The sequence below is a fragment of the Homo sapiens genome, chromosome 16 (assembly GCF_000001405.40).
Source record: "Homo sapiens chromosome 16, GRCh38.p14 Primary Assembly".
Lineage (NCBI taxonomy): Eukaryota > Metazoa > Chordata > Mammalia > Primates > Hominidae > Homo > Homo sapiens.
Window position 1 is genome coordinate 80,697,578 of NC_000016.10, and position 27,955 is coordinate 80,725,532.

The following is a 27,955-nucleotide window of genomic DNA, read 5'->3' on the forward strand; positions in this document are numbered from 1 at the left end:
TTCACAAGATAAAGAAATAAGGGGCATGCAAACTGGAAACAAGGAAGTCAAATTATCCTTGTTTGCACACAACATGATCTTATATATATATAAATCTAAAGACTCCACCAAAAACCTCTTAGAACTGATGATTCAGTAAAGTTGCAGGATACAAAATCAACAAAAAAGTCACATTTCTATACAATCGTAACAAACTAGCTGAAAAAGAAATCCCATTTACAGTAGCTACAAAAACATAAAATACCTAGGAATAAATTTAACCAAGGAGATGAAAGATCTCTACAATGGAAAGAATAAAACATTGGTGGAAAAAATTAAAGATAAGATTAAAAAAATGGAAATACATCCCATGTTCATGGATTGGAAGAATATTGTTAAAATGGCCATACTAGCCGAAATGATCTGCAAAGTCAGTGCAATCCCTATAAAAATACCAATGACATTCTGCACAGAAATAGAAAAAAAAATCCTAAAATTCATATGGAAGCACAAAAGATCCCAAATAGTCAAAGTTATCCTGAGCAAAAGAAACAAAGCTGGAGGCATCATACTACCTGACTTCAAAATATACTAAAAATCTGTAGTAACCAAAACAGTATAGTACTGGCATAAAAATAGACACAAGATTTCATGGCTAAGACCTCGAAAGCACAGGCAACAAAAGCAAAAACAGACAGGATTATGTCAAACTAAAAAGCTTCTGTACGTACTGCAAAGAAAACAATCAACAGAATGAACAAATAACCCGCAGAATAGGACAAAATATTTGCAAATTATGCATTTGACAAGGGATTAATATCCAGAATATACAAGGAACTCAACACAAGAGCAAAAAACCAAATAGCTGAATTAAAAAATGGGCCAATGATCTGAAAAGACATTTCTCAAAAGACAATATACAAATGGCCAATAAGCATATGTGATACGGTTTGGATCTGTGTCCTTGCCCAAATCTCATGCTGAATTATAATCCCCAGTGTTAGAGGTGGGGCTTGGTAGGACGTGATTGGATTATGGGGGCACAGTTCTCATGAATAAACTGCCATCCTCCCTTGGTACTGTATAGTAAGTTCTCACAAGATCTGATTGTTTCAAAGTATGTAGCATCTCTCCTCCTCTCTCTTACTTCTGCTCCTGCCATATAAGATGTGTCTTCTTCCCCTTCACCTTCTGCCATGATTGTAAGTTTCCTGAGGCCTCCTCCCAAGCAGAAGCCACTTTGCTTCCTGTAGAGCCTGCAGAACCATCAACCAATTAAAACTCTTTTCAAGTTATGCAGTCTCAGGTACTTCTTTATAGCAGTGTGAGAATGAACTAATACAATATGAAAAAATGCTCACCATCACTAATCACCAGGAAAATGCAAATCAAAACCACAATGAGATAACATCTCACCCCAGGTAGAATGGCTATTATCAAAAAAACAAAAACTAACAAATGCTGGCAAGGATGTGGAGAAAAGAGAACTTTATAAACTGTTGGTGGGAATGTAAATTAGTAAAGACATGGAAAATAGAAAGGAGGTTCCTCAAAAAAACTAAAAATTTAATATCATATGATTCAATAACCCACTACTGGGTATATATCCAAAGGAAGGAAAATCAGTATGTCTAAGATATACCTGTACTCTCATGTTTACTGCAGCACTATTCATAATAGTCAAGATATAGAACCAACCTAAGTGTCCATCAACAGATGAATGGATAAAGAAAATATGATATACATATTTATATACAATGCAATACTATTTAGCCATAAAAAAGTATGAGATTCTATCACTTGTGGCAACATGCACGAGCCTGCTGGACATTGTGTTAAGTGAAATAAGCCAGGCATAGAAATACAAATACCACTAGTACTCACTCATACGTGGAAGCTAAAAAAGTTGATCTCATAGAAGTAGAGAGTAGAACAGTAGTTACTAGAGGCTGTGAAGAATAGCACGAACAGAGGATAGGGAGAGGTTAGTTAATAAATACAAAATCACAGCTAAACAGAAGGATTAAGTTTTAATGTTCTACAGCACTGTAAGGTGAATATAGTTAACAAAATTTTATTGTGTATTTTCAAATAACTAGAAAAGAGGATTTTTACTATTCTCAACACAAAGAAATGACAAATGTTTGAAGGGATGGATATGCTAATTACCCTGATTTGATCATTACACATTATCTATATGTATTGAAATATACTATACTCCATAAATATGTATAATTATTATGTGTCAAAAACTTTTCTTAAAAGGTTGAAAGGTATGTGGAAAAGGTAAATAATTAGAATGACCAAAACAATTTTTTTTTTTTTTTTTGAGACGGAGTCTCGCTCTGTCGCCCAGGCCGGAGTGCAGTGGCGCGATCTCCGCTCACCGCAAGCCCCGCCTCCCTGATTCACACCACTCTCCTGCCTCAGCCTCCCGAGTAGCTGGGACTACAGGTGCCTGCAACCACGCCTGGCTGATTTTTTAGTAGAGACGGGGTTTCACCATGTTAGCCAGGATGGTCTCGATCTCCTGACCTCATGATCCGCCCGCCTCGGCCTCCCAAAGTGCTGGGATTACAGGCGTGAGCCACTGCGGCCAGCCAAAACAATTTTTAAAAAGAGCAAAGTTGGAGAAATCACAGTGCCTCTGCAAAATTCCAGATAAATTAGAAAGTTAAACAAAAATCTAAGAACATATCAAACACAAAAAATGCGTTTTAAGACTTACAGTGGAGAAGGTCACTGAAACAAAAATCTAATGGCCATGAAGAGTGCTAAATTTCACTAAACTATAATTAAAATTTTTCCTTTCATAAAAGACATCAAAAATAAAATTAAATGACAATGGACTGAGAAAATATTCACATTTGCAACAAAAGAGTAACATCCAGAATATGTAAGGAACTTCAAAGTCGATTAAGAAAAAGAAGTTAAAAATGGGCAAAGAAGCAGAATAAGAAATACAAATTCAAATAAATAAAAATGGCTATCAACATATTAGAAAGAGGGTTAAGCTCATCACTAATCAGGGAAATGAAAATTAAAACAGTGAGAAAGATCAGCAAAATTTTAAAAGGTTGCTAATACCCTATGTTGGCAAGGATGTGGGCATACGAATAGCTATATATGTTCTTAGCATATGTAAATGGATATACCCTTTAGGGAAGGTAATTTAACAGATATCTATGCAAATTAAAATGTACAACCTTCTCTCCTCCTCCTCCCACACATAGTACATAGGTTCACATCATGCTAGCTTTCTCTCGCCAGTAGGCAGGAAACAGAAGAAATGTATCACCTCTGAACAGAAAGGTTTAATTTCCTATTTGTTGTCTTCCCTGCCACAGCAACAGAGCAGGCCATGAGTTGTAACGCCGTGCAGCTAAGAAACAGTTAAGCCTTCAGCAGCAGCCTGGGTCTCTGAGGGACTCGGCGGGCAGAAGATCCCACTAAACACTGTTGGACAGGTAGCATGAGTGAGAAATAAACCCCTGCAGTCTTAAGCCACTGGGAAAAAAATCTGCACAAACCCTTGAACCAGCCATTTGACTTTTGAGTATCCATCCGCATACAACCAATTCTAAAGGGAAAAAAGCAATAAACAGGGACTCTATCAAAGTAGAACCTCTACATAGATCAAGACAGAGCTATATGTCTTAATGTACAGTATGATCCCATTTATGTCAAAATATGCATATGCAAATATATAAAGGTCTGGAATAATTCACTGTTAATCTTCTATGGTTATTGCCTAATTATTAACAATGGTTTTCTCTAAGGCAGGGAGTGGATGCAGGGGAAGAGGCCACAAAGAAGGTCTTTCATTTCTATTCAAATTCTTCTGTAAAGCTTTTTTTCAATGAACATTATTTACATAGTATCTATTCCATTTAAAAATCAATAAAAATATTTTTTAAATTAATTTGATTTCTGTTTTTAAAAATGACCAACTGGAACATATCATGGGGAAAAATGAGCACATTCCAAAAAACAACCAAAAAAACACCGAATTGCAAACGTTAACTTTCACAAGAAATATTGGAAAACTACAAGAAGATAAACAACAAAATTCTACTGAGATGTTTTAAAGGGCTGAAATGAATGGAGCTGTATGTACCATGTTTCTGGATGGGAAGTCTTCACATATTAAAAGTTGGTTTGCAACAAACTGATCGATAAATGTAACGCAGTTTACAATCAAAGTCCCAATGAGTTCATTTTCAGAACTTTACAAAATGGTTCTCAAGTACCTTTGGGAGAATTAAATAAAAATAGCCAAGAGATTTTTGAAAAAGAAGAATAATGAGAAGGCACTTCTACAATAACATACTCAAGTAGAATATAAAGCCACTATACTTGTGAGTGTAGCATTAGGACAGGAAAAATAAATCAACTGAGCAAGAAAGCAAGCCTGAAAACATCCCTTCATATATTAGGAGATAAAATCGGAAACAAAGTAGCATCAAATATCAGTGCCAAATAGCAGAATTATTGCATAAGTGGGATTGGGGCAATTATACAGGAATGTGGAGTGAGAAACAAACCCCCACTTCACAGTAGAGGAATCAGAGTTTGGGGGTTTTCTGAAAATTAATTCCAAGAGGTTCCAAGAGTCAGAAGGCCTAAAACACACACACACACACACACACACACACACACACAAAACTATAAAAACTTAGAAGAAAACAAGACAGAGGTAGACAGCCATCTCATTTTTCATTGAAAGACATCCCATGTTCAAAATAATATTTTGCTCAGAAAAGCACGTTCTGCACATGTATCCCATTTTTTAGAAGAAATCAAGAAAAAAAGTGTATAAAATAGAAAAAAATTAAGTGGCATGAAGTAAAATAGTAAAAATAATCAAGAAATATATAAAGATCTCAGGAATATCATTAGGAAAAGCAGACAGGTCTGGACATGAGGGCTCACGTCTATAATTCAGCACTCTGGGAGACCAAAGCAGGAGGATTGTTTGAGGCCAGGAGTTTCAGACCATCCTGCGCAACAGAGTGACAACCCATCTCTACAAAAAATTTAAAAATTAGCTGGGTGTGGTGGCTCATGTCTGTACTCCCAGCTACTCGGGAGGCTGAGGCTGGAAGATCGCTTGAGCCCAGGAAGGCAAGGTTGCAGTGGGCTATGATCGTACCACTGCATTCCAGCCTGGGTGACAGAGTAAGACCCTGTGGACAGGTAAGGCCACAATATTAGGAGGCTAGCCTGGCCTCCTGGAGGATGAGTAGACACAAAATGCCGCAGCCAACAGCCAGCACTGCACGCCAGAAATGTGGGTGAGGCCATCTTGGACTTTCCATCCCAGCTGCATGAGTGAGCCCAGATGAAATCAACAGAGCTCACCCACAGAAGCCTAAGAAATAATCAGTTGTTATTGCTTTAAGCCACTAAGTCCATAACTGATATAACTTGACATAAAAGTTTATTAGAGTATTAGCTCAATCATGTGGAATATATATACACACATGAATCTAGGAAAAAAAGATAAGAAGGAAATGTTAATAAAAATAGGAAACCCCATTAACAGAATTATCTCAACCATGTAGAATATGCACATACACACACACCTGGGCAAAAAGAGAGGTGGAGATGTTAACAAGAATGTTATCTCCAGGGAGCAAGATTAGTGTTAATTATCTTCTTTATACTCTTTTGTATTTACAAAGTTTCCTTTCATGAACAGATAAATATATGTGAATAGCATTATATTTTAAAGGTTGATTTACCTCCACAACTAGACTGTGGCCTCCTTGATTGTAGAGGCTCTTTTTTTCGACTGTGAACCCCACGGCTTGTCACATGGTAGAGGTACAGTCAATGCTAGATGAATGAATGAACACAGAAAGCCTCAGGCTTATCCCCAGATTCAGGATTGGACTAGAGCTACCAACCTCGTCACTGGTCCCTGGACTTTCTCTAATGTGCACTAGACCAAAGCTGGTGCCCATGAGTCAATGCCCACCCAGCCACTCTGCCCTTACAGCAGGTATCCCCATCACCCTGTGGTGGCTCAGGCCACAGGGCCTCCCTGTGGGGTGCTCTAGCAACCAATCTGGTTACCATGCATCACACTCTGGCTCAAGGAGAGGGACAAGTGACCCAGCCCCTCCCAGAACCGCACCTGGTGGTCAGGGGCTTCTCCACGGCTATTCCTGGGTACAGGCTCCCCTAAGTCCTGCTGGTTACCAGGACCCCTACTGCAGGGTCCTGCCCTCTTGACCTCTGATTCCAGACCACACCTGGCCTTGCCTGAGCTTGGATGACAAGCCTCACCTGCGGAGCCACGTTAGCATCAAACTTTGCACCCAGGTAAGCAGAGCAGCCACCTCCCTTCTCTTGCCCAGCTGCGCAGGGTGGGTGCGCCCATCACCACACTGCATACTGAATTCCAAAGTACACACAGGCCAACAATTGAGTTACAGGATAGCGGAAGTGTGCATGTTGCTGGAAGATTGGGAGGTGAAGGTGACCAGTAAAAACTCCACTACCTGAGTAGAGCAAAATGTCTGTTTGTCCTAGGAGGTCAGTGAGGTACATTAGATGGTGCTTTCTGAAACCTCATTAACCAACTCCCTTCTTTCCTTTCGCACCCTCATCCAAGCCAGACACTGCTAATCAACCACAGCACCCACTCCTAATCAGCCCAGATCAACTCAAAATGCATAGCACAGAATTTACACAGAAGCACTTGGCAAATTGATATTCTTCTTCTTCTTTTAAATACAACACTCCAGGCAGCCACAGCTATTCTCTCAGAACCAATACCAAAGATGGAACTTGATCATCATTCAACAAATGCTTATCAAGTGCTCATCACATGCCAGGCACTGCAGGAGACACCAGAGGTGCAACGGTGAATAAAAACAAATGTGGCCCTCATGCTCATGAAGCACACAGTCCATGGGGACAGCCAGCTTCTAATACATAAAGTCACCAACCAACATTAATAGCAAACTGAGATAAGTGCTCTAGACAAAAGGAAAGACGTTCACCACCGGTGTGTACAAGGTAGCCAACCTGGTCTTGGCAGTCAGGGAAGACTCCTTGGAGGAAGTGACATTCAGAATGGAAGGAAGAGCTGCCACTGATTGGAACAGGGCATGCGGGAGGAGCTCAGGGAGAAGGCAGTTCCAGTTAGAGGGAAGAGAATGTGCAAATGCTCTGAACCAAGGAGGAATGTGGCCAGTGGTCAGCGTGAGTAACAGAGAAAGGCCACGTGGCTGAAGCCAAAAGGGACTGGGGCATGTTGAGAGATGAGAGTAAGAAAACAGACTCTGCTGGGTCTCTATGGCAAGTTAAGAACCCTGATCTCATCCTGATCCTAAGTGCAAAATAAGCCACCCAGGGGTATGGCAGGTGGAGAAGTTGGCCAAGGTAGGGGCTCCCTGGTCCAGGCTTGACATGCTTATTGTCCAGCTAGGAGCTAGACCTCACTAGGTGAGTTCCTCGTGGGCAGATGCTCTGTTTGACTCATCCCAACAGCTCACCAGTGCTTCGTCTACGCTGACTTCAGGAAATCCTTTATTGCTCAGCCATCCCTCTGAGACACAGGGTCCAGATCCGAATGCCCACCAGGGCAGAAGGGAGCACCAAACATCTGGGACCAGAGGTGGCATCAGTTTCCTCTAGCAGGATGGCTGCTAACACCTCCTTTCAGCCTGGTTCTCCCTTTGCAGTCTTCCACAGGTAAGACCGTCCCTCAGGGTCAGGTGGCTGGGAAAGCGGGCAGGGAGATTCCTGTCTTCACTCTGGCCAAAGGCCACTTTTGAAGAACTATGAGCGATGCTAGAGTCCTAATGTCATCCAGATGCAAACTTACTGACCCCAAGAACTCCTCCACCTGCCAAGGCCTCTACAAGAACCCACTGCTTCCTTCTAGGGAGCCCATCTGCTTTCAGGAATGTTCTAGAAGCTTTAGCCCAGCTGTAGAAGGCACACTGAGGGAACGCAGGCAGGTCCCCTGGCAGAATCTGTTCTTCCTATTCCAACAAAGATCTGTTGCAGGCCTTTGTGCTATTATGAATATTTTCCACATTTCTTTCAGTAGAACTGGCATTATTATAAACCAATGGTCAACAAACGTTTTTGTGAAGGCCCAGATGGTAAATATTTTAGGCTTTGAAGGCCACATGGTCTCTGTTGCAACTACTCAAATCTGCCCTTGTCATGCAAACACAGCCACAGACAATACATAAACAAATGTGGCTGTGTTCCAATAAAACTTTATTTATAAAAACAAATGGTGGGCCAGATTTGGCCTGTGGCCATAGTTTGCCAACCCCCATATTATAATTTCTCCATTCCATAGTTTATCTCTTCTTTTTATCCATAAACATCATAAAATCTTTCTTCAAGTTATCCCATTTATTTATTAAGGGAGAAAAGCATATATTGAGCATCTACCGTATGCTGGACACTCCAAGGCAGTAGAGGGGTGTAATCTGAACATCACAGACATGGTCCCTGTTCTCATGGAACTTAGCATCCAGTGTAGAAGACTGATGGAAAAGTGTTCACTCTTCTCTACTCCGCATCTTTCCCTCAAAATAACACCTAATCCCCAGCCAAGTGACTACATGCCAACATCAAAAGCTACTAAAAATTCTGCAAAACATTTTAAGAGGCATAAATCAATTACATCCATTAGTTGTCCCTTGGCTACAGGCCAGTAACCTCTCGAGAACTTCAACAGGTTTGTGAAAAATGAGTTGCCCTCCACCCTCACACAAGAATGTGAGCTCAAAAACAGGAGGGCAATGCTGGACCCATCCGCTCAATGCTGGCAGTGAAGGGCTCAAGCTCTCGGAAACAAGATAAACCTCAGCTTGAATCTAGGCCTCCACCCTATAAAACCATGATCAAACTATTTTTGCCTCTCTGAGCCCCACTTCTCCCATCTGAACACTGGGAATCATGATCACATTGTTGCACGTTGCAGGGATCAAATAAGTTAATGTTTGGAAGGAATTCATGACTGAGGCTGGCTTCTGGTAAACAATTATCACTGAGTTGCCACCAAGCCGCTAGGGGCAGCCCCAGGGGAAATCATCCCCTCCTCCTGCACAAAAGTGATTATCAAGGGTGCCAGAAATGCTCCACAAGTGTACAAGAAATGCCAAGAAGAATGAGATTGAGTCCAGGGACCATAGACAAAGAGGAAGAAACAAAGGAAGTAGAGGCAGGTTTGGGACTGCTGCCTCCCAGTCTACAAGGCAAGAGTACACAATGGAAAATCTTCATCACGGGAAGGCAGAAGATAGGCCGGTCTCATTCATGAGAACAGAGGTAGATATCAGAAGACCTGGCTCTTCAGTTACACGGCCAACTGACTCAGGTCAATCACACCTACAGACTTGTCTGCCTGCCCATAAAATAAAAGTCTTGAATGCAAGCAGACATTTTCCACCCATGTTCTGGGAAGCCGTACAGATTGATGAAGGCATCAGAGGATGTCGCCTCAGAGCATGGGGGTGCAGTGAACACCCCACATCCAACTCCCTGCACCCAGAGCCTGCCCCCTAGGATTCAGTATAGCCATTATGGTTCTACCTGGTATTGCATTTCATGCTAAAAAAAGAAAATTTTTAGACAATAAAAATAAGTGAGAGCTGGGCACAGTGGCTTACACTGGTAATCTCAGCACTTTGGGAGGCCAAGATGACAGGACTGCTTGAGGCCAGGAGTTCAAGACCAGCCTGGTCAACACAGCAAGATCCCCATCTCTACAAAAAAAATTAACATAACTCATCCTGGGGCTGGCGTGTGTCTGTCCTATACTTGGGAGGCTAATGCAGGAGGATCACTTGAACCTGGGAAATCAAAGCTGCAGTAAGCTACGATCGTACCACTGCACTCCAGCCTAGGCGACAGAGAGAGATGTTGTCTCAAAAAAAAGAAAAGAAGAAAGTATAAATGTGAAAAACCTTGAACAAGACCATCCTTGTTCAAGATCCTTCCAGAGGGCTCCTTCTGGTTCGGTGACTGTAAATGCTCCAGTTGGGAACAGAGCATCAAATGGGTCAGAACATGCAGCTTCTTTGGGTTGGCATCACCAAACTCCAGATGCTTTGGTGGTGTCTTTCTGAGTGTTCAGATCCAATGCTTAAGTCATAATCCTTTCCTAGTTTTTAACAGAATCTGTGTCTGTTTGTAAAAGTGTGGCCAAGTCCAGCATCCAGAGAGGCAGCCTCATAAGTGAGGGGAATACAGTTTATCTGAACCCTGGCTCAGGTCAAGGGTTGGTGCTTCAAGTGGCCTGTAATACAAGGGCACAAGTGTTTCATCACTGTACACTGGGAAAATTCCAGTAAGAGACCATTGATGCCTCTTAAACCACAAGTTTTTTTCTCTCCAGTAGGGTGTTGGGTTACTAAGGGTAGATCACCTTAAGTTTATCCAGAAAGAAAGGCAGGATGCTATTTCTACAAGAAAGGCTCAGAGGATCACACTCTTTAGGGGTGGGGCAAAGATGATGCCCTTTCCCCCTTCATGCCCCATAGGAGGTTGTAGAGGATGGTAGGTCTAAGGAAAAATCCAGGACTGGGATGGAAGGATAGGAGGAAACTCACATTTACTCAACAGGAAGTGGAGACGTCAAATCCATTATCTTGTCATATGGTTTGGCTGTGTCCCCACCCAAATCTCACCTTGAATTGTAATAATCCCCACGTGTCAAGGTCAGGGCCAGGTGGAGATAACTGAATCACGGGGGTGGGTTTTTCCCATACTCTTCTTGTGACAGTGAATAAGTCTCAGGAGATCTGATGGTCTTATAAAGGGCAGTTCCTCTGCACAAGCTCTCTTGCCTACCCCCATGTAAGACGTGACTTTGCTCCTCCTTGCCTTCTGCCATGATTGTGAGGCCTCCCCAGCCATGTGGAAACGTGAGGCCATTAAACCTCTTTCTTTTAGAAATTACCCAGTCTCGGGTAGGCTTTACTAGCAGTTATGAGAATGAACGAATACATCTTGGTACAGCCACAGCCCTCCCTATTAAGAAGCCAACCCCATCCCATTTTGAGGATGAGGCTCAGAAAGGATTTCTGTCAAGGAGAAAACTCAACCTGTCCCACCTGGCTGCAAAGGGCGTCACTGTACCCAAGAGGCAATCAATAAATATCAGCTGGTAGTCAAATTTCCTTTTAAAAATGAACAAATAAATAAAACACACAGGGTTGTTTTTTTTTGTACTTATATGTAGAAAGTACTAGAAGCTTATTGTGTAGTTCAGGTTGTTCTCAGTTCCAAAGCATCGAGATAGAGCAGACAGGAATCTGGTAATGATGAAATCTTTATTATAAAGTTGCTGCAATCCTCATAGAAAATATTTAAAGATATAAAAAATTGCTTATTATAAAGCAACATGAGGCAATTACCTATCTACATTCCGAAAATAAAAATGTTCTTCTGGCAGCAGAGCTCCTGTTTGCAAATTGAACAGAAGCGTAAGGCGCCAGTCAGACAAGAAGAAATACAAATAGAAAAGCACAGGCAGGACTGCCTTCTCCTGTTTTGAAAATACAAATTTAGCCAGGCCTGGTGGCTCACGCCTATAATCCCAGCACTTTGGGAGGCCGAGGTGGGCAGATCACGAAGTCAACAGATCAAGACCACCCTGGCCAACATGGCGAAACCCCGTCTCCACTACAAATACAAAAATTAGCTGGGTGTGGTGGCGTGCACCTGTAGCCCCAGCTACTCAGGAGACTGAGGCAAGAGAATCACTTGAACCCGGGGAGTGGAGGTTGCAGTGAGCCAAGATCGTGCCATTGCACTCCAGCCTAGGCAACATAGCGAGACTCCATTTCAAAAAAAAAAAAAAAAGAAAATACAAATTTGTTCCAACACAATTTATATATCAGGGAATAATTTGAGCATAACGCAAATTTTGCATTTTCTTGTGCACAATTTCGTCCATGAGAAGCACTAGATGAATGCAGAAAGCTAAAGCTGCACCTAAGTAAACTGAGCCATGCAGGAATAAACAGACACACACACACACACACACACACACACACACACTTCCTCAAACACCCATGAGCTCCCCCAGTTCACCAAGCGAGTGTGTTCTGGACCACACTTGTGCACAACTTTCAGAAAAACCTATTTCACAACCCCACAATAATTACTAGCCCTTCTCACATCTACTTCCACAGGCCAACTTTCAGTCTTTTTTAAGGTAAAGTGCCACATTTATTGTAGGAATTATAGATTTCTTAACCATCTTGCATGTGCAAAACTGTACTACCATCCCTTTTTTCACTGAGCCACTGACAACATTTTTGATTTTGTACCCCAATCCTACTTTTTCCGTAAGCCCTATTTTTTAATTACATGATTATGGACAGCAGGCTGATTTTTTTTTTTTTTTTAACATGGAGTTTCACTCTTTCGCCCAGCCTGGAGTGCGGTGGTGCTATCTCGGCTCACTGCAACCTCCGCCTTCCTGTTTCAAGTGATTCTCCTGCTTCAGCCTCCTGAGTAGCTGGGATTACAGGCACGTGCCACCACGCCTGGCTAATTTTTGTATTTTTAGTACAGACGGGGATTTCGCCATGTTGGCCAGGCTGGTCTCGAACTCCTGACCTCGTGATCCTCCCGCCTCGGCCTCCCAAAGCACTGGGATTACAGGTGTGAGCCACCATGCCTGGCCTGGCAGGCTGATTTTTAAGAATGCTCAAGTCATATTATAGCAGAACTTACTGCTAAATGTTCTTCCATGGCTTATTTAATTTTTAGAGGAAGTACACAGTACTACAAATTGGTACAACCCTTCCAGCAGTCACATAACAATATTTACCAAGTTATGTCCATATCTTTGAACCAAGTAATTCGACAGAATTTACTCTAAGGACATAATTGAATAAGAAAACAGAAAGATGATGTGCACTAAAGTGTTGATTGTGACACTGACGTGGATGTGCGTGTGTTTGTGTGCATGTGTGCAAAGCCAGCAAACATTTTAACTGAAAAGACTATGTAACCAAGTAGTAAATAACTACAGTATATTGTTCAGTGAATAGAAAATAAAAATGTGTGTAAACAGGTTAACTGTATGAAAACAAGGACACAGAGGACAATAATGATTTTAGTTGTATTGTCACGATAGGATTGAAGGTGATCTATTGTACATCTTGAAAAAATCCCTTAATGTTATAATACTGCTTACACACACACACACACATACACACAGAGAACTGTGTTTAAATTTTTTTAAAAGCTAAGTCACCAAGAAGTGTTTTGAATATGCTAATTTTCGGTTTTGTTAAAAATCAGAAATAGTTCTTCACTGCATATCATATACCCAGCACAGTATTTATTTCGAGATGTGAAGGAAGTAATTTGAAATTTTAGTTTCATGAATACATATTTTTGTAACAGTACAAATCTGAATCCTGAACTACAGCTGGTAATCTTCAGTTTGTCACTAAAACTAATTTGCAGCCCTGCTGCTTGCTGTAAATATGGAAACAATAGTCCCTTTGCAACTCACAAACATGCAGGGCAAAACATACCAATGGAAAGTAAAGGTTGTGCTACGCGACTGGCAAACTGGACAGTGCTTGCACGCAGGCTGTGTTATTGGGTGAAAACCAGGTGGGAGGATTTGTTTCAAGCGGCGCTGTTACCAGGAAGACAACTTTCTGGACAAAGCAGATGGCCAACAAGAAGTGGGGCATTTTCACGTTAACAAAATCAACCGCCCAATAGATTCTGTGAACAATATAAAGTACGTATCTTGAACCATTTGTGTCAGAAGCTCCAAGTCAGCCCAATCTCCCAGGCAGGGAAGCAGACGTTGACAGCTTGTGGAGGGCTGCATGCACACCTGGGAGGGGGCAAAGGTGGGGACTGCTTTGAGTGCTTAACAGAGCGTCCTGTTTTTATTAACACTTGAAGTTAATAAAAGAGTTGACATTTCCCATACGCAAAAGCTTTCTCCTCCTCTGAACACGCAGGATGCAAAGTGGAAGAGAGCTCAAGGTTTGGATCCTGACAGCTCTGATTTTTAATTTGAGCTACATGCTGTGTGACCCACAGCAAATTCCTCTACCTCTCTGAGCCTTCCTTTCATCTTCAGAAATGTAGGGATAACAGTCTGTCTCCAATGGTTGTTCTAAGTATTAAATGTTTGAAAAGGCAACACACCTGGCCCTAAGAGGCGCTTAATAAATACTCAGTAAATCTGAAGCATAGTGTTTCAAGGGACACTCCTGCCACCTGTACTCCCAATCCTGGGCCCTTGTCTGATGTACCTAGCAAGAGCATAATGCCCTGGCTGACCACACTCAGTATGGCACTGCGGAATAGAGACGTCAACGGGACCCTGAATTATCCATTATCCAACCGACAGGGGAGAAGGACACCCATATATATGTGTGTGTATATATATGTGTATACACATATATATATGTATGTATATATATGTGTGTATATATGTGTGTATATATATGTGTGTATATATATGTGTGTATATAGATGTGTGTGTATAGATGTGTGTATATAGATGTGTGTGTATATATATGTGTATATATGTGTATATATGTGTATATATATGTGTGTACATATATGTGTATATACATGTGTGTATATATATGTGTCTTTGTGTCTGTGTGTGTATATATATATATATATATATATATCTCCAAACCACTGCTCACTGTGATTTAACTGAATGCAATTAAATTTGCGTATGTTTTAAAATAATGTCCAGAGAGTCCCTGAAACGTAGCCACTGGATCACCTGGAGACCATGCATAAGACCCCCAGTGCAAACTATCCCTGCCTGGTGTCCTTTGTGTACCCTTACAAGTCTCTCCTGGTCTATTCGTCAATGTCACAACATTGCTGGTCCCTGGCTGCTCTCCATGTCGGCTGCGCCTCACATCTCCCTGTTTCCTCACCACCACAGCAAGAAACTGAACCCTCTCAGATGTGAATGAGGCAAAAATGAGCCCAAACCCAGCAGCAGGATGGGGCAGGGGCGTCTCCTTCCACCGTGTGGGAGAAGTGGGTGGCTGGAGGCAGAAAGAAGGTGGACTCCATAGGTCTCTGCGAGGTGCTTGGAAAGGAAAACCAAACCACAATGGCCCCCAAAAGGTGCCTATGGGTAACACAGCCCTAAGCTACAGTGTACAGCTCTGGGATGAATGGGAAATGCATGGCTTAAAGACAATGCAGTCAACAAAAAGGACTGTGTCCCAATGCCATCAGACATAAGATATCTGCTTCCTTTCATCTGATGTATGTAAGATGCATGACCGGCTCTGAATTTTATATCCCCTGGGTGTTGCAAGCTTAGTAAAGCCCAGCCCAAAGGGGTACCAGCTTCCTTGATAGCAAATGTGGACTTCCTGCTAGTACCCAACAGAAGGGACAAGAGGAAGGAGGAGAGGCACACAGATGTCCGAAGTCAAATGCACTCCAGGTCCAGGTTGTGGCTTCGCTCATTGTTTTCAGCTGCAGACAAGAGGTGTTCCAAGGTCCTCAGCAGCCCTGCTTACTTATACAAGAATATCCCTTCAGAGACTGCGTTCCTTGACGGTATGGCCCATGATCTGCTGCAGTCTATGGCTTTTTCTACCTCTCCTCCTGCTCATAATGCCCTGTGCAATGTCTGCTACACTGCAGGCATTTAATAAGCGCTAGGTGGCTGGAAAGATAAATGCACGGATAAATATGTAGCTGGATGAAGTTACAAAACAAGCTGTGAGAGGCTCTGAGAACAGTGCATTGTGGGAGAAGTCTGCAATCATTCAAGAGACTCAATCAGATTGTCACATGCCATTTGTAGACACACCTCCAGAAGACTGGTAGCATTTTTTAGTTAAATCAAATGGCCTTTCAGATGCACTGTCACCACAGCCATAGGTTACTGTTCAGGATGTTCCATTGGGATATTAAAGCTTAGCCCAGAGCACCAAAGGTCCCTCTGAACCATTGATGAGCTCTAATCAAAGATTCCTCGGTGGGGGATGACCGGCCTCAACACAATCTTCTCTACCATCCTATGGCTGGGTGTGGGTATTTTGCACAGATGAACACATTAAGATCTCCTGTCTTCTAATAATGTGACCTTGCTCCGCTTCCCATCAACTGGTAGGGTCTATGCCCCCTCCCCTTGAACTGGGTGTACATTTGAGACTGTCGTGGCCATAGGGAAGTGACCCTATGTGACTTCTATGGCTATATCATAAAAGTGACATTCATTTCCACTCTGCTCTCCTGGGATGCCCATTCTTGGAACTCAGGAGCCATGCTGTGAGGAAGCCCAAGCAAGCCCTCACGGAGAGACTACATGCAGGTGTGCCAACCGACAACATAGCTCAGGCCCCAGTCAAGAGCCAGGATCAAACAGCAGATGTCAGAATGAATGTGCTTCCAGACGGGTCAGCTGCCAGCCTTCAGGTCTTCCCAGCAGAGGTGCCGAACATTGTGGAGGAAAGACAAGCCATTCCCACGTTGCCTATCTAAATTCCTGACCCTCAAAACCTGTGAGCATTAAAAATTTTTTAACACTACTAATTTATAGGTGGTTTGGAATATTTATATATTCAAATGTAAACTGGAATACTGGAACTTAAGCACTGTCCCAGTCTCACGACCCAGACCCCTTAGCTTGACCCTTGACACTAAGCTTCCATCCTGGTATCCCCTAAACTGCAAGCTGGGGGATACCTGTACCATCAGATACTTTTTAGGTTCTTACTACCTAACACCAATAAATCAAGAAAAAAAAAGCTGCAAGAGAAGATTTTGAATGTTCCCCACACGAAGAAATGATAAATGTTTGAGGTAAGGACATGCTAATTAACCTTATTTGATTGCTATACATTGTATACACATATAGAAATATCACTGTGTATCCCATAAATATGTACAATTACTATATGTCAACTAAAAATAAACGGGAAAAATAAAAAAATTTAAAATAAATCAAGAGGCTGCTGCCCACCTGGCTGGTTACTCACTATTTATATATCTGTTGTTGTGTCTCCTGCAAGACGTAAGACTTCCTAAATTTGCCACAAGTTATGGTCACCTCAATAAAGCCAATGACCCTATCCCCGACCCTAACTTTCTCTGCTCCTACCCCATAAAATCCCAGCATACCTTACATCAATGCCATCCTGGAACCCTGACAAGAAATATCTCTGCATTCTACGCTCAATCCAACTAGCTCCAAGGCTCCTGAGGGTTGCTCAGTGACAGGATAAATTACCCAAAAATAAACTACCAACGTGTTTCACCAAAAGCTCCATTTTTGGAGATCAAATGAAAGGTGAGCATTTACAAAGCTCCTTTAGTGGCCAGGCAGATTTCTCGAGCAGGATTAAAAGGTGTTTCCATCTGTCCCCCCAAGTAGGATGTAGTCAAAGCCTCAGACCATGACCAGAGCTGTGGAGTCACTAAGGATCAGAGACAGAATCCCCAGAGAGAAACATCAACAGACACTGACAGGGTAACTAAGCTCATGCAAGTGAGCGGACATGCCTTACTCATCTGGAGGAGCAACTGGAGATGAGATCAAAGTAAGTGTAACTGCAGTACGGTACACAAGCAGAACTTCGACCCAAGCCATGGATCTAACAATGGCCATGTGGGTCAGGTCAGCAAAGAGGAAGAAATGTTGTGTCTGGCTCAGGCACTGACGTGGGCTCCACAGCACATGATACAGTTCTGTGTCCTTGGCACTGGCCTGAGGATACAGGAATCCTTGTGGGACCCGGAGTCATGATCCCACCATAGTCAACAATGATTGAGGGCTCTGGAAGACCATAACCACCAACAATACCCCAACTAATCCAGTTATCCAAGGCGAGGAGCCATTCTGACAACCAGAGGGCCCTCATCCTTACCTCCACTTCCAAGATTTGCAATTTTACCTCCTGAATGTCTTTGCAAGACATTTACAGACACTCATGGTTCTCCAGTGGCACTGCCCTGCTGTGGGACACCAGCTCTCATAGCAGCCTCCAAAGGAAAATCTCTGCACCCCTCCGGCCTCCCTTTCCTCCACTCTCACATTGCCTCCAGAGGAATTTTTTTTTTCATAATGAAAATCTGATTGTGTCCCCAACTCCCTCTCCCTGTTTAAAACCCTCCATTGCTCAAATGAGAACATGTAAAACCCTTAAAATGGTGTATAAGCCCTGCACAGTTTGGTATCTACCTGCACTTCCTGCCCCTTCACCTTCCATCTCCTCCTCACTCTCTGCCCTGCAGCCACTCTATGGAATCATCCATGGCCCCAAACCTCACCTCAGTGCCTGGCCCTTGTGCCCTGGAAAGTCCTTTCATTCCCCATCCCTCTTCCTCTAACTCCTACCCACCCCTAGATGGAAGAAGAAGTAGATTCTAAGCCAGACTTCCTAAGCCCAAAACCCAGCTCTGTCGCCGACCTGTGGTTACGCCCTTGGGCAGAGAGCTAAATCTCTTTATGCCTCAGTTCCTCATGGGGATGATAATCATTCCTCCTTCATGGGATCATTATAAGGATGAAAAGTCAGTCCATGCAAATCAGGTAAAAATAATTGTAACAAGGCCTGGTACATAAAAGGAATTCAGTGACTGTTCACTCCTCATTCTTATCTCAGCTCAAATATCACTTCATCAAAGAGAAGCCTCCTCTGTGGCTCCCCACACTAAGATTCCTCATATATGCTATTTCCTTCCAAGTACTTACATCATAATTATACATCCTTTATAGGACTACTTGATTAATGTGTATCACAAGAGCAGGATACATGTCTGGTTTTGCTCACACTATATGCCAAGACTTACCACAGCTCCTGACATACTGGATGGCTGGGTAGATGAATGAGTGGGTGGGTGGATGGATAGATGGGTGGATGGGTAGGTCGATGGATGGATGCATGGATGGATGAATGGACGGATAGCTGGATGAACAATGGGTGGGTGGATGGAGGGATGGATGGATGATAAATGGATGACTGGATGAATAGATGACTAAATGGATGATAATGGATAGATGACTGAATGAATGGACAGACAGATGGATCAATGGATAGATGATGAATGGCTAGATGGGTGGATGGATGGATGGATGATACATGGATGACTGGATGAATAGATGATTGGATGGATAACAGAGGGGTAATTGAATGAATGGATAGATATAGTGATGGATGGATAATGGATGGATCGATGGATGGATGATAGATGGATGACTGGATGACCAGATGACTGGATGGATGATAATGGAGGGGTGACTGAATGAATGGCTGAATAGATGGATGAATGGATAGATGATGTATGTAATGTATGTATGGATGGATGGATGACTGGATGGATGGATGGATGGATGGATGATTGAATGGACAGATGGATAGACAGATGAATGGATAGATAATGGATGGATGGGCAGATGGATGAGTGGATAGATGATTAGATGAATGGATGATTCAATTGATGGATGGATGGATGGATGGATGGATGGATGGATGCACGGATGGATGGATAGATGGATGATTAAATGGATAAATGGATGGGTGAATGATTGGGTTGACAAATGGATGGAGGGATGAATGAATGGATGGGTGGACTGGATCGATAGATGGATGGATGGATGGATGGATGGATGGATGGATGGATGGAGACAGCCCTGCTGACACACAGTGTGGTGACTAGCCATTCTTACTATTCAACTTTAGGCCCAGCAGCTTCACCTTCAGGAGCTACCCAGAGTCCTAGACTGCCTTGTATGTCCTCTATGACGATCTTGAATTATCACCAGTTCTCTTTCCTACATCATTATTATTCTTACAAAAAGATAGCAACATGGCTACAGGGGGCTGGATATCCTGGTGGCAATAAAGTAAGAAACTTCAAAGACAACATACTGAACACAGCCACTGCCACCAGGGAAGGTGGATGGAGACAGAGGTAACCTGAGCTGGGGCAAATGACAGCCCCCAGTCCTCTTCCAAAGATTTCACTAGGGTGAAGACTGCTTTACCTCTTTAGGAACCATGAAGAGAAAACCCCTGAGAGAAACTGGAGACTGAACCAGACACCTTCTCCAGTCTCCTCCACGATCTGGGAGGCAACAAGTATTCATGAGATCTGCTAGGGGCATGGAGCAGTGAAGTGGACAGACAAGGCCCCTGTCCTTGGGAAGTTGGCCAGGATATGTAAAAGGCAGACAGGAAATAAATAATTAAAATAAATGATTAACTAATTGCATGTGTGCAAAGCAAATACTGAAGCCAGGAGGACTCCCCATCATATGCTAGAAATTCCCTGGCATGCAAAATGTGACAAAGTTCCTAGAACAGTTATCCCACATGGTTCGTGGAAGCAAAAGTAGGGCACACTGAGCAGGCATGTCTGTTTCTAATAAGTTTCTCCACTTGCAAGGTCAAGGATGCTGTGAGGCACATTCAGTGTGCATCTGCTGTCTCACGCTGGGTGCTTTCTCAAGCAGTTACCAATCATCCTGACAAACCCAGGAGGGGCTATTATCTCTACTTTACAGATGTAGCAACTGAGGTTCAGAAGGGTTAAATCAGAGTCCAAAGGCCACATGACCAAGGCAAGAACAAAACCTAAGACTGTCTCCAAAGCCCGTGCTCTTTCTGCTATACCAGGCTGCATAGGGAGTGAGAAGTGAGTTTTGTTTTGTCTTCACACAAAATTGAAGGACCAATTTGAAGTAAAATATTAATCTAAAATCTTCATTGTCAAAATCATCTTAAAATAAAATTCATTACTTGTTTAAAGATGGATGGCAAACTCACATAATAGTTAAAACTGAACTATTACCTTATGTGCACAATCCCATTTAATCCTCACATCAACCCACTGAAGGGGAGGTTAGGACTATCATACCTAATTTACAGGTGTGGAAACTGAGGCTGTGAGAATTAAAGTGCTCACCCTAAGAGCCAAAAGTTGAACCCAAGCCTGCCCACTCTGATGCCTAAGATCTGCATCACCTGGCTATATTAAAACAGAGCTGATTTACTGCTCCGTGACAAGGCAAGCTGGATGGCAGCCAGGCTCAGGAGCTAGAATTGGCCACTATGGAAAAAGAATGCAGCTGAAGGAGCTGGAAGTCCAGTCTGGCAAGTGTAACCTGACACTCAAGGCCACAGCAGTAGATGGTAGGTGGTGTCCCAACAGACACGTGGATAGTGGGATGGAGAACCCAGAACAATGGGCCAGAGGGCAGCATCCGGAAATCCTGCCCAGCAGCCACACCGCTGTTGGAGACAGAATCCCAGTCCCTAAAAGAGGTACTGACAAGAGCAGGGGAGCGCCTGGGGTCTAGAGACACAGGGAGGCCACTAAGGAGGGAAGGACTTAGAGCCAGGGAACAATGTAGGGATCCAGAGAGCAGAACCAGGAAACCAGATAGAATTGTTCTTGGCAGTAAATCCAAAGTTGTCAGAACTAGGGCATGAATACTGGGCTTGACGACTTAACGCTCCCAGAGAATTGGGCAGCAGCTCCTGAGATTCCCCAGGGACTCCTTGGAAGCGAACATTACTCATTCATTCCTTCAGCAAGTACTGAACACCTGTTACGTGCCTGGCCAATGCAAAGCCCTAGAGATAGAGTGCTGAGCAAGAAAGACACAGTCACTGACCCCCGTGAATGCAAAGGCAATGTTTCTCAAACTGGAGTCTGAGGATCCCCAGAGGTACCTGTAAAACTGAAGATTCCCAGGCCCCGGAAGAGGCTGGGAGCAGGAATCTGTGTGGGCCTTGAGCAAGTCTTCTAACTGCTCAGTGCCTCCGTTTCTCCATTTGTAAATGGGACTAGGAACACGAATGACCCACAAGTTGCTGTATTAAGTGAGTGCACTCAGCACAGGGTAGGGGCTTGACACAAGCCAGGATCATCATGATCTTCATCATTTTAATTTTCTACATCATCATGGAGGAATAGGGGTTCATTTTAACAAGACCCCTCGTCATTTGTGTGCACTAAATTTTGAGAATCACTAGATAATTTTCAGCTCTGCAGGCAGTTCCTGCTTCCATCACATGGGGCCTAGCCAACAACTTAGAATTGAGACAAACAAGTATCTGTACCTTGGGTTGCCCAGGAGAAAACAAGGCCACCCAGACCCCAATTCTGAACCCCTATGTCTTGTCCTCTCTACTGTGAACCCAGACACAGTGGCAGGAAACAAGGAGGCTGTCGCCACCAAGCTTCACACTATGTAGTCATGAAGACAGGAAGTGCCTTGTTCACAGCCCGTGTCTGTCCACACAGGGATGATGACAACAGAATCAGCCCAAGAGGGTACCAAAGACATTGTTGGGACCTGCCTTGGCTACCTGCTGTCCAACCCTGGCCCTCCCCTGGCATAGAGAGGCCAAAGGCCCTCCTCTGTACCCAAACCCTGATCATCTGGGAAGGGATTCAAATCTATCATTGATATTCCCTGTGGCTGGCTCATTTCCCAACAGTGTCCCCTCTCCCATGCCTTGACACTGTAAAGCCACCAGCCTTTAGTGGTCGAGCAAATAATATTTAGGCAGAAATGGGCAGGTAGAGAATGAAACTGGGAACATAAGAATTTGAGCCATCTCTCGGGCCCTGAAACTACACAATATCCACACAGATCCAGGAGGGGAACACTTGCTCAGAGGGCCCTTCTTCCAGTTCCCCTCATGACTCCCCTCTCTGTGGACATGCCTGGATTCCGTGCTGAATCCTGGAAAGCACCTATAGTCATCGGCACTCTAAATGCCAGAACATCAAGGAAGCAAAGAGACAAAAACTAGGCACTGGGTTTTGCCCCGCAGATTTGATGTCAATCCCTGCCATGACTGTGAACAGTCACCATGTAGTATCCAATGACCAGGTAGAGCAAAAACAACCTATTCTCACAAATGCCTCTGACAAACCTTGTCATCAGTGTCATTTGACTCCAACAGGAAATACTCTAGAAAGGAGGGTATGCTCGTCTACAGAGCAAGGACACTGTTCTCTGCTGACAACTCTTTAAAAGTTGAGGGTATTTTGCTCAGGAGTATCCATCCCCATTAATCCCTTCAACGTGGCTTCTGAAACAAGATGTTGCTGCTGGGAAAACATGCTCCTGGCATTTCTTCCTGGGATTCAGGGTGCATTTTCCTCTTGGACCAATGTATAAATGAGTGTAGGCAGCAGCTGATAATGCCACTTATTATTACTTTCATTCAGCAGCATTAGTGAGTGAAGATTTCAGTAGGCTGGCCTGGGAATCCTGCTACCACTTGTAATGTTGTTTCTGGTTTAAAAATATACCCTGAGAGCCGTCCGCTTCAGAAATTGAGCATGTGTGGTTGCTGAAAGGCTTTCTTTAGAGTCACAAGTGGGGTAACTTATCTTAAATAAGGGAATAGACTAAAATAACCAGAAAGAACCCATATCATTTCATTATAAGGAAGTGGCTACAGAGAGAAAATAATGAGCTCATCCTGGAGAGACCCTAAGTGCAGTAAACACATTTCCGCCAAGACCCCAGGAAAATGTCAGCTCCTCCCCAGCAGTTAGGGGCTTCCTTCTCAGTGCCCCCACTTCTTGACCAAAACAAGAAGTACAAAAATCCCAGTGCTACTAAGAACAACCAATGACAGAATAAGAGTGCTAAGAAACTAATCACTGTCATGTGCTAGCTGTTTGCTGTCTGCACATGTTAGATATTTTACTTGCAGTAATTTATTTAATCCTCCCAACAGTCCTCTGAGGTGGTGACTCATTCCCATTTGATACCTAAGAAAACCGAGGCTCAGAAAAATTAAAGGGTTTGCCTGAAGTCATGTAGCAAACACACGCTGGGGCCTGGATTCAAAATCATCCCTGATTCACAAGCTTCTTTTCCAAGGCATGAGCAGGTTTGGGCAGCAAAATAGTATCAGATGGGGAAGTCCTTCCATCAGTGACTATTTGGGAGAGTGGCGATCATGACTCTCCAAACTGCTTCTTGAGCTCTGGGTTCTGCCTTGTCTGCAGGAGCCCAGTCATCCTTTGCAAAGCCAAGCTGCTGGTGACCACTTTCTTCTAAGCAGGTTTATATCTAGCACGTGATCCACCATATTCCACTGATTCTAAAATATGCACAGTTTCCCATTTTATCATCTCTGTAATCAGGATTGAAATCAAGCATGCCTAACAATGGCCCAGCTAGACCACCCTTCAGCTTCTCCAGGACTGAAGCTGAGCAGTGACCACAGGGAAGACAGAAGATACAGCTGCTCTGTCCCCTCCCCGGTGACCATCCCCATCCTTCTCCTGGTGCCATGCAGTCCCCACAGTTCCTTTGCCCTGTCCACCTCTCCCCAAACTCACTGAACCTGCTGGGCTGCAAATTCAGGGACTGTATTCCAGGCACAGCGACGAAGAGGTCCTAGCCACTACCCAGTTCTGGTGTCTGTTAGCTGTTACAAAATTCTCAGGAGACCCTTCTTTGAGGAAGAAGTGGTTATGGACCCCTCAGGAGCTGAGAGAATGTCTAAAAGGGCTCTATAAACAAATTAAAATAAAAATTCCCAGTGATAAGGAAGCATTGAGTCATATAATAGAGGTGTTTCTTTTAAAAGTACAATGATTCTTAATATTGGCTGCAAAATAGAATCACCCAAAGAGGTTTTTAAATACTGATTTAAAAAAAAGAAGAAAATGAATAAAATGAATAAATAAGTGAATGAAAAAACCAATGTCCACCCCCCAGATTACTGATGTTATTGATCTGGAGCAGGGCTGGGCACCAAGACATGTGAAAGCTCACTAGGTGATTCTATTATTCAGAGGTACATAAAATAACAGAGCATCTTATAATCTGTAGTGTCTTAGAGTCAATGAAAGCAAACACACTGCTGAGTCCTGAGAATTTACCCAGGAACTCACCCTGATCTCCCAAACACTTCCCAGCTCCTCTGGATGAGACACCTTATCGAGCCAACAACGGCAAAGTCATCAACAACGGAATGGGCACACAAGCTGCATGTATATTGTATCTGTAATTGTCAGAACATAACTAAGCCTAGTTTTCTTAGGCCTATTTTACAGATTAGAAAACTGAGGATCCAAAAAGTCAAAGTTGCCCAAGGTTACAGAGGAAGAAACTGACAGACATCCGAAAACCAGGCCCTTTTCAAAACACCACACTGACTCTCCAAGATACTGTGCTCCTTCTTTGTACAGGGCTAGGAGCTGGAATTCAAGGATGGATTAACCACAGTCCATGCACTCTTCAATTTTATAATCCATGCCAGGAGACAGACTACGGCCCTACTCATGAGCATACCTGGTGCCCTAAGCTTCCAACATACAAAGGGTTGAGTTCACAGGAGGGAAAATTATTCTTGGCTGGAGGATTCAGTCCCCATAGAAGAGAAGACTCGGGAGTTGGCCCTTAGAGGGCAAGGAGGATTTCCACAAGCAGAGCAGAAGGAGAAGACATAGAGGGGCCATGGGGCCATAACCCTTTTCTGCTGCAGGGTGAAGCCTCTGAACTGCCACACTCGGCAGGGCGCTTTCTACAGTCCCTGTGGACTATGTACCCACCACAGGCACCTCCCTGGGCTACCCATTTGCTTCCAAGTGCACTTAGATGTGTGGTCTATAGGCCCAGGAATTCCTGGAGAGAGGAAAAGCCGCCCCAAGAAGCCATCTCAAGGCATCTCCTCTCGGAGCTTTTCCTCCTGGCACAAAGGCTGCATTCACCTATGTATGGCTCCTACACAGGGAGCTGTGCCCAGAAGGGTTGTATTAAGTAAACCCTAGCTTGGCATCAAGTCCAGCTTTGGGCTTGCAGCGCTGAGGAGCTGAGATGAACATTCAATTTACAGTTTGCATTCTGTCTGTGGCTGAATCTGAGGTGCAAGCTGGGATGTTTCTAAGTAAGAACACTAATTCCGGCTTCTAAACTCCAGGTTCCCCAAATGCAAACTCTCCAAGTGTCAGCCTCACCCAAGAGCCACCACAGCCCAGGTGAGACTGACCCCATGCCCCAGCACACTGATCTTATCCCAATGAGATACTGATTCCACAGGATAGTCCCCCATGTTCCTTAGGATAAAGTCAGCAAACCATAGCCTACAAGCTGCATCCAGCCTAACAGCTGCTACAGTAAATAAAGTTTTATTGATAACACAGCTGTGCCATTCGTTTACATACTTCTATAGCTACTTTCAAAACTGCAGAACATGAGTAGTGGTGACAGAGACCAAATGACCTGAAAAATTGAAAATATTTACTCTCTGGCATTGGTAGAAAGTCTGCCAATTCCTGCTGAAGAAGAAGAAACAGAGGAGAGTGAGGAACAGGAGAAAGAGGAGGAAGAGGAAGGGAGAAGGAAGAAGAGGAGAAATGGGGGGAAGGAGGAGAAGGAGTGGAGAAGAAGAGGAAGAGGAGAAAAAGGGGGGAGAAAGAGGAGGGAGAGAGAGGAAGAAGCAAGGAGAGAAAGAGGAAGAAGCAAGAAGAGAAAGAGGAAGAGGGGAGGAGGAAGAGAAAGAAGATGAAGAGGAAGAAAGAAGGAAGAGGAGGAAAAGAGGAGAGGAAGGAAAAAGAAGAGGAAGAGAAAGGAGAAGAAAGAAAGAGGAGATAAAAAAGAAGAGAAAGAAGAAGAGGAGGAGGAGACAAAGAGGAAGAGGAGAGGAGGAGGGGAAGGAAGAGGAGAAGAAAGAGGAAGAGGAGGGGGAGAAAGAGGAAGAAGATGAGGAGAAAGAGGAAGAGGAGGAGGAGAAAGGAAGAGGAAAGAAAGGAGAAGAGAGAGAGGAAGATGGGAAGAGGAAGAGGAGGAGGAGGAAGAAATGGAGTAGAAGGACCTAGAGAAATTATTTCTGTCTTAGCATTGCTATCAGGTGGCTCTTTTTTCTATGCCATTAAGGTTCTCTCTCTCAAAGAAAAAATCTGTAAAACTCTGGAGCTCTTCTACTCCCTGCAGCATGAAGATCCTGACTCCTTGTCATAGTTCATGAAGACCCCTAACACTCTCCACCCACCTCAAGCACATAACACACACATGACACACATGTGGCACTTCATGACCTGGCATGAACTATATCAGTGTGTATTGCCTGTAATATTGTTTTATGAAGGCTTTGTTTCACATACATATACACACATGCATTTGTGTACTAGGCCCATGATACAACATAGATTTCTTTCTATAGTTCACAGTCAAGAAAGTTTGAAAGTCATGACACTAACACTGTGAATTACATCTCAGATCCATCCACTTCTCTGCATCACCAAGTCACCAAACCTCTCACCCAGACCTTTGTGGCAGCTTCCCACATGGTCTTCTTGTCTACAGTCTTGACCCATGGCCAATGTGCTCTTCATAGGGTGGCCAGGGGAATCTTTTAAACTGTAAAGCCAACTCTGTAAGATCGTGTCCTCAAACCCTTTGGTGGTTTCCCACTGAACTAAGAATGAAATCCAGACTTCTGAGCAGTCTACTGAGTTAAGCATGGTCTAGATGCCACCTGCCTGCCCCACTCCTGGACCACACTTCAACTGAGTCACCTTCTATCGGTTCCAAGGACATGTTCTGTCCTTTCCCACCACAGAGCCTTGGTGGGCATTGTTCCCTTTCACTGGAACACTCTGAACTCCCATACACCTGTGCAACACATACACATACACATACACATACACATACACACACACATACACACACACACTTTGCCTCACCAACATCTATTCATCCCTTCAGTCCTAGTTTAATGTCACTTCCTTGGAGCATCTTCCCTGACATCCCTGACATCTTAGATAAAATTGGAGACCCGCATATTTGAGCACTCTTTTCTATCCCTTTACAACACTTATTGCAACAGTAATTAGCGATTTGTGGGATTCATGGTGACGATCCACTTCTACCCCTAGACTGCAAGCCCCATGTAGCTGGCTCTATATCTGTCCTGTTCACTGCTGTGTCCCCAGCATAGCTCCTGGCCCACAGTAGGTGCTCAGGAAACATTCATTGGATAATTGA

General features: G+C 43.6%; 1 protein-coding gene across 4 annotated transcripts in view; it reads right to left on the reverse strand.

Annotated features, from left to right (window-relative positions):
* The window catches only part of CDYL2 (chromodomain Y like 2), a 207,131-nt gene that overhangs the window by 99,671 nt on the left and 79,505 nt on the right, over window positions 1–27,955 (reverse strand). Inside the window, exon 1 of one of the 4 annotated variants that reach the window (XM_024450151.2) lies at window positions 5,724–5,942. The exons of the other annotated variants lie outside the window; for them this stretch is intronic. The gene's annotated coding sequence lies outside the window, so the exon portion shown is untranslated. Of the gene's footprint in view, window positions 1–5,723; window positions 5,943–27,955 lie in introns of those variants that run through there. 4 annotated transcript variants of the gene reach the window in all.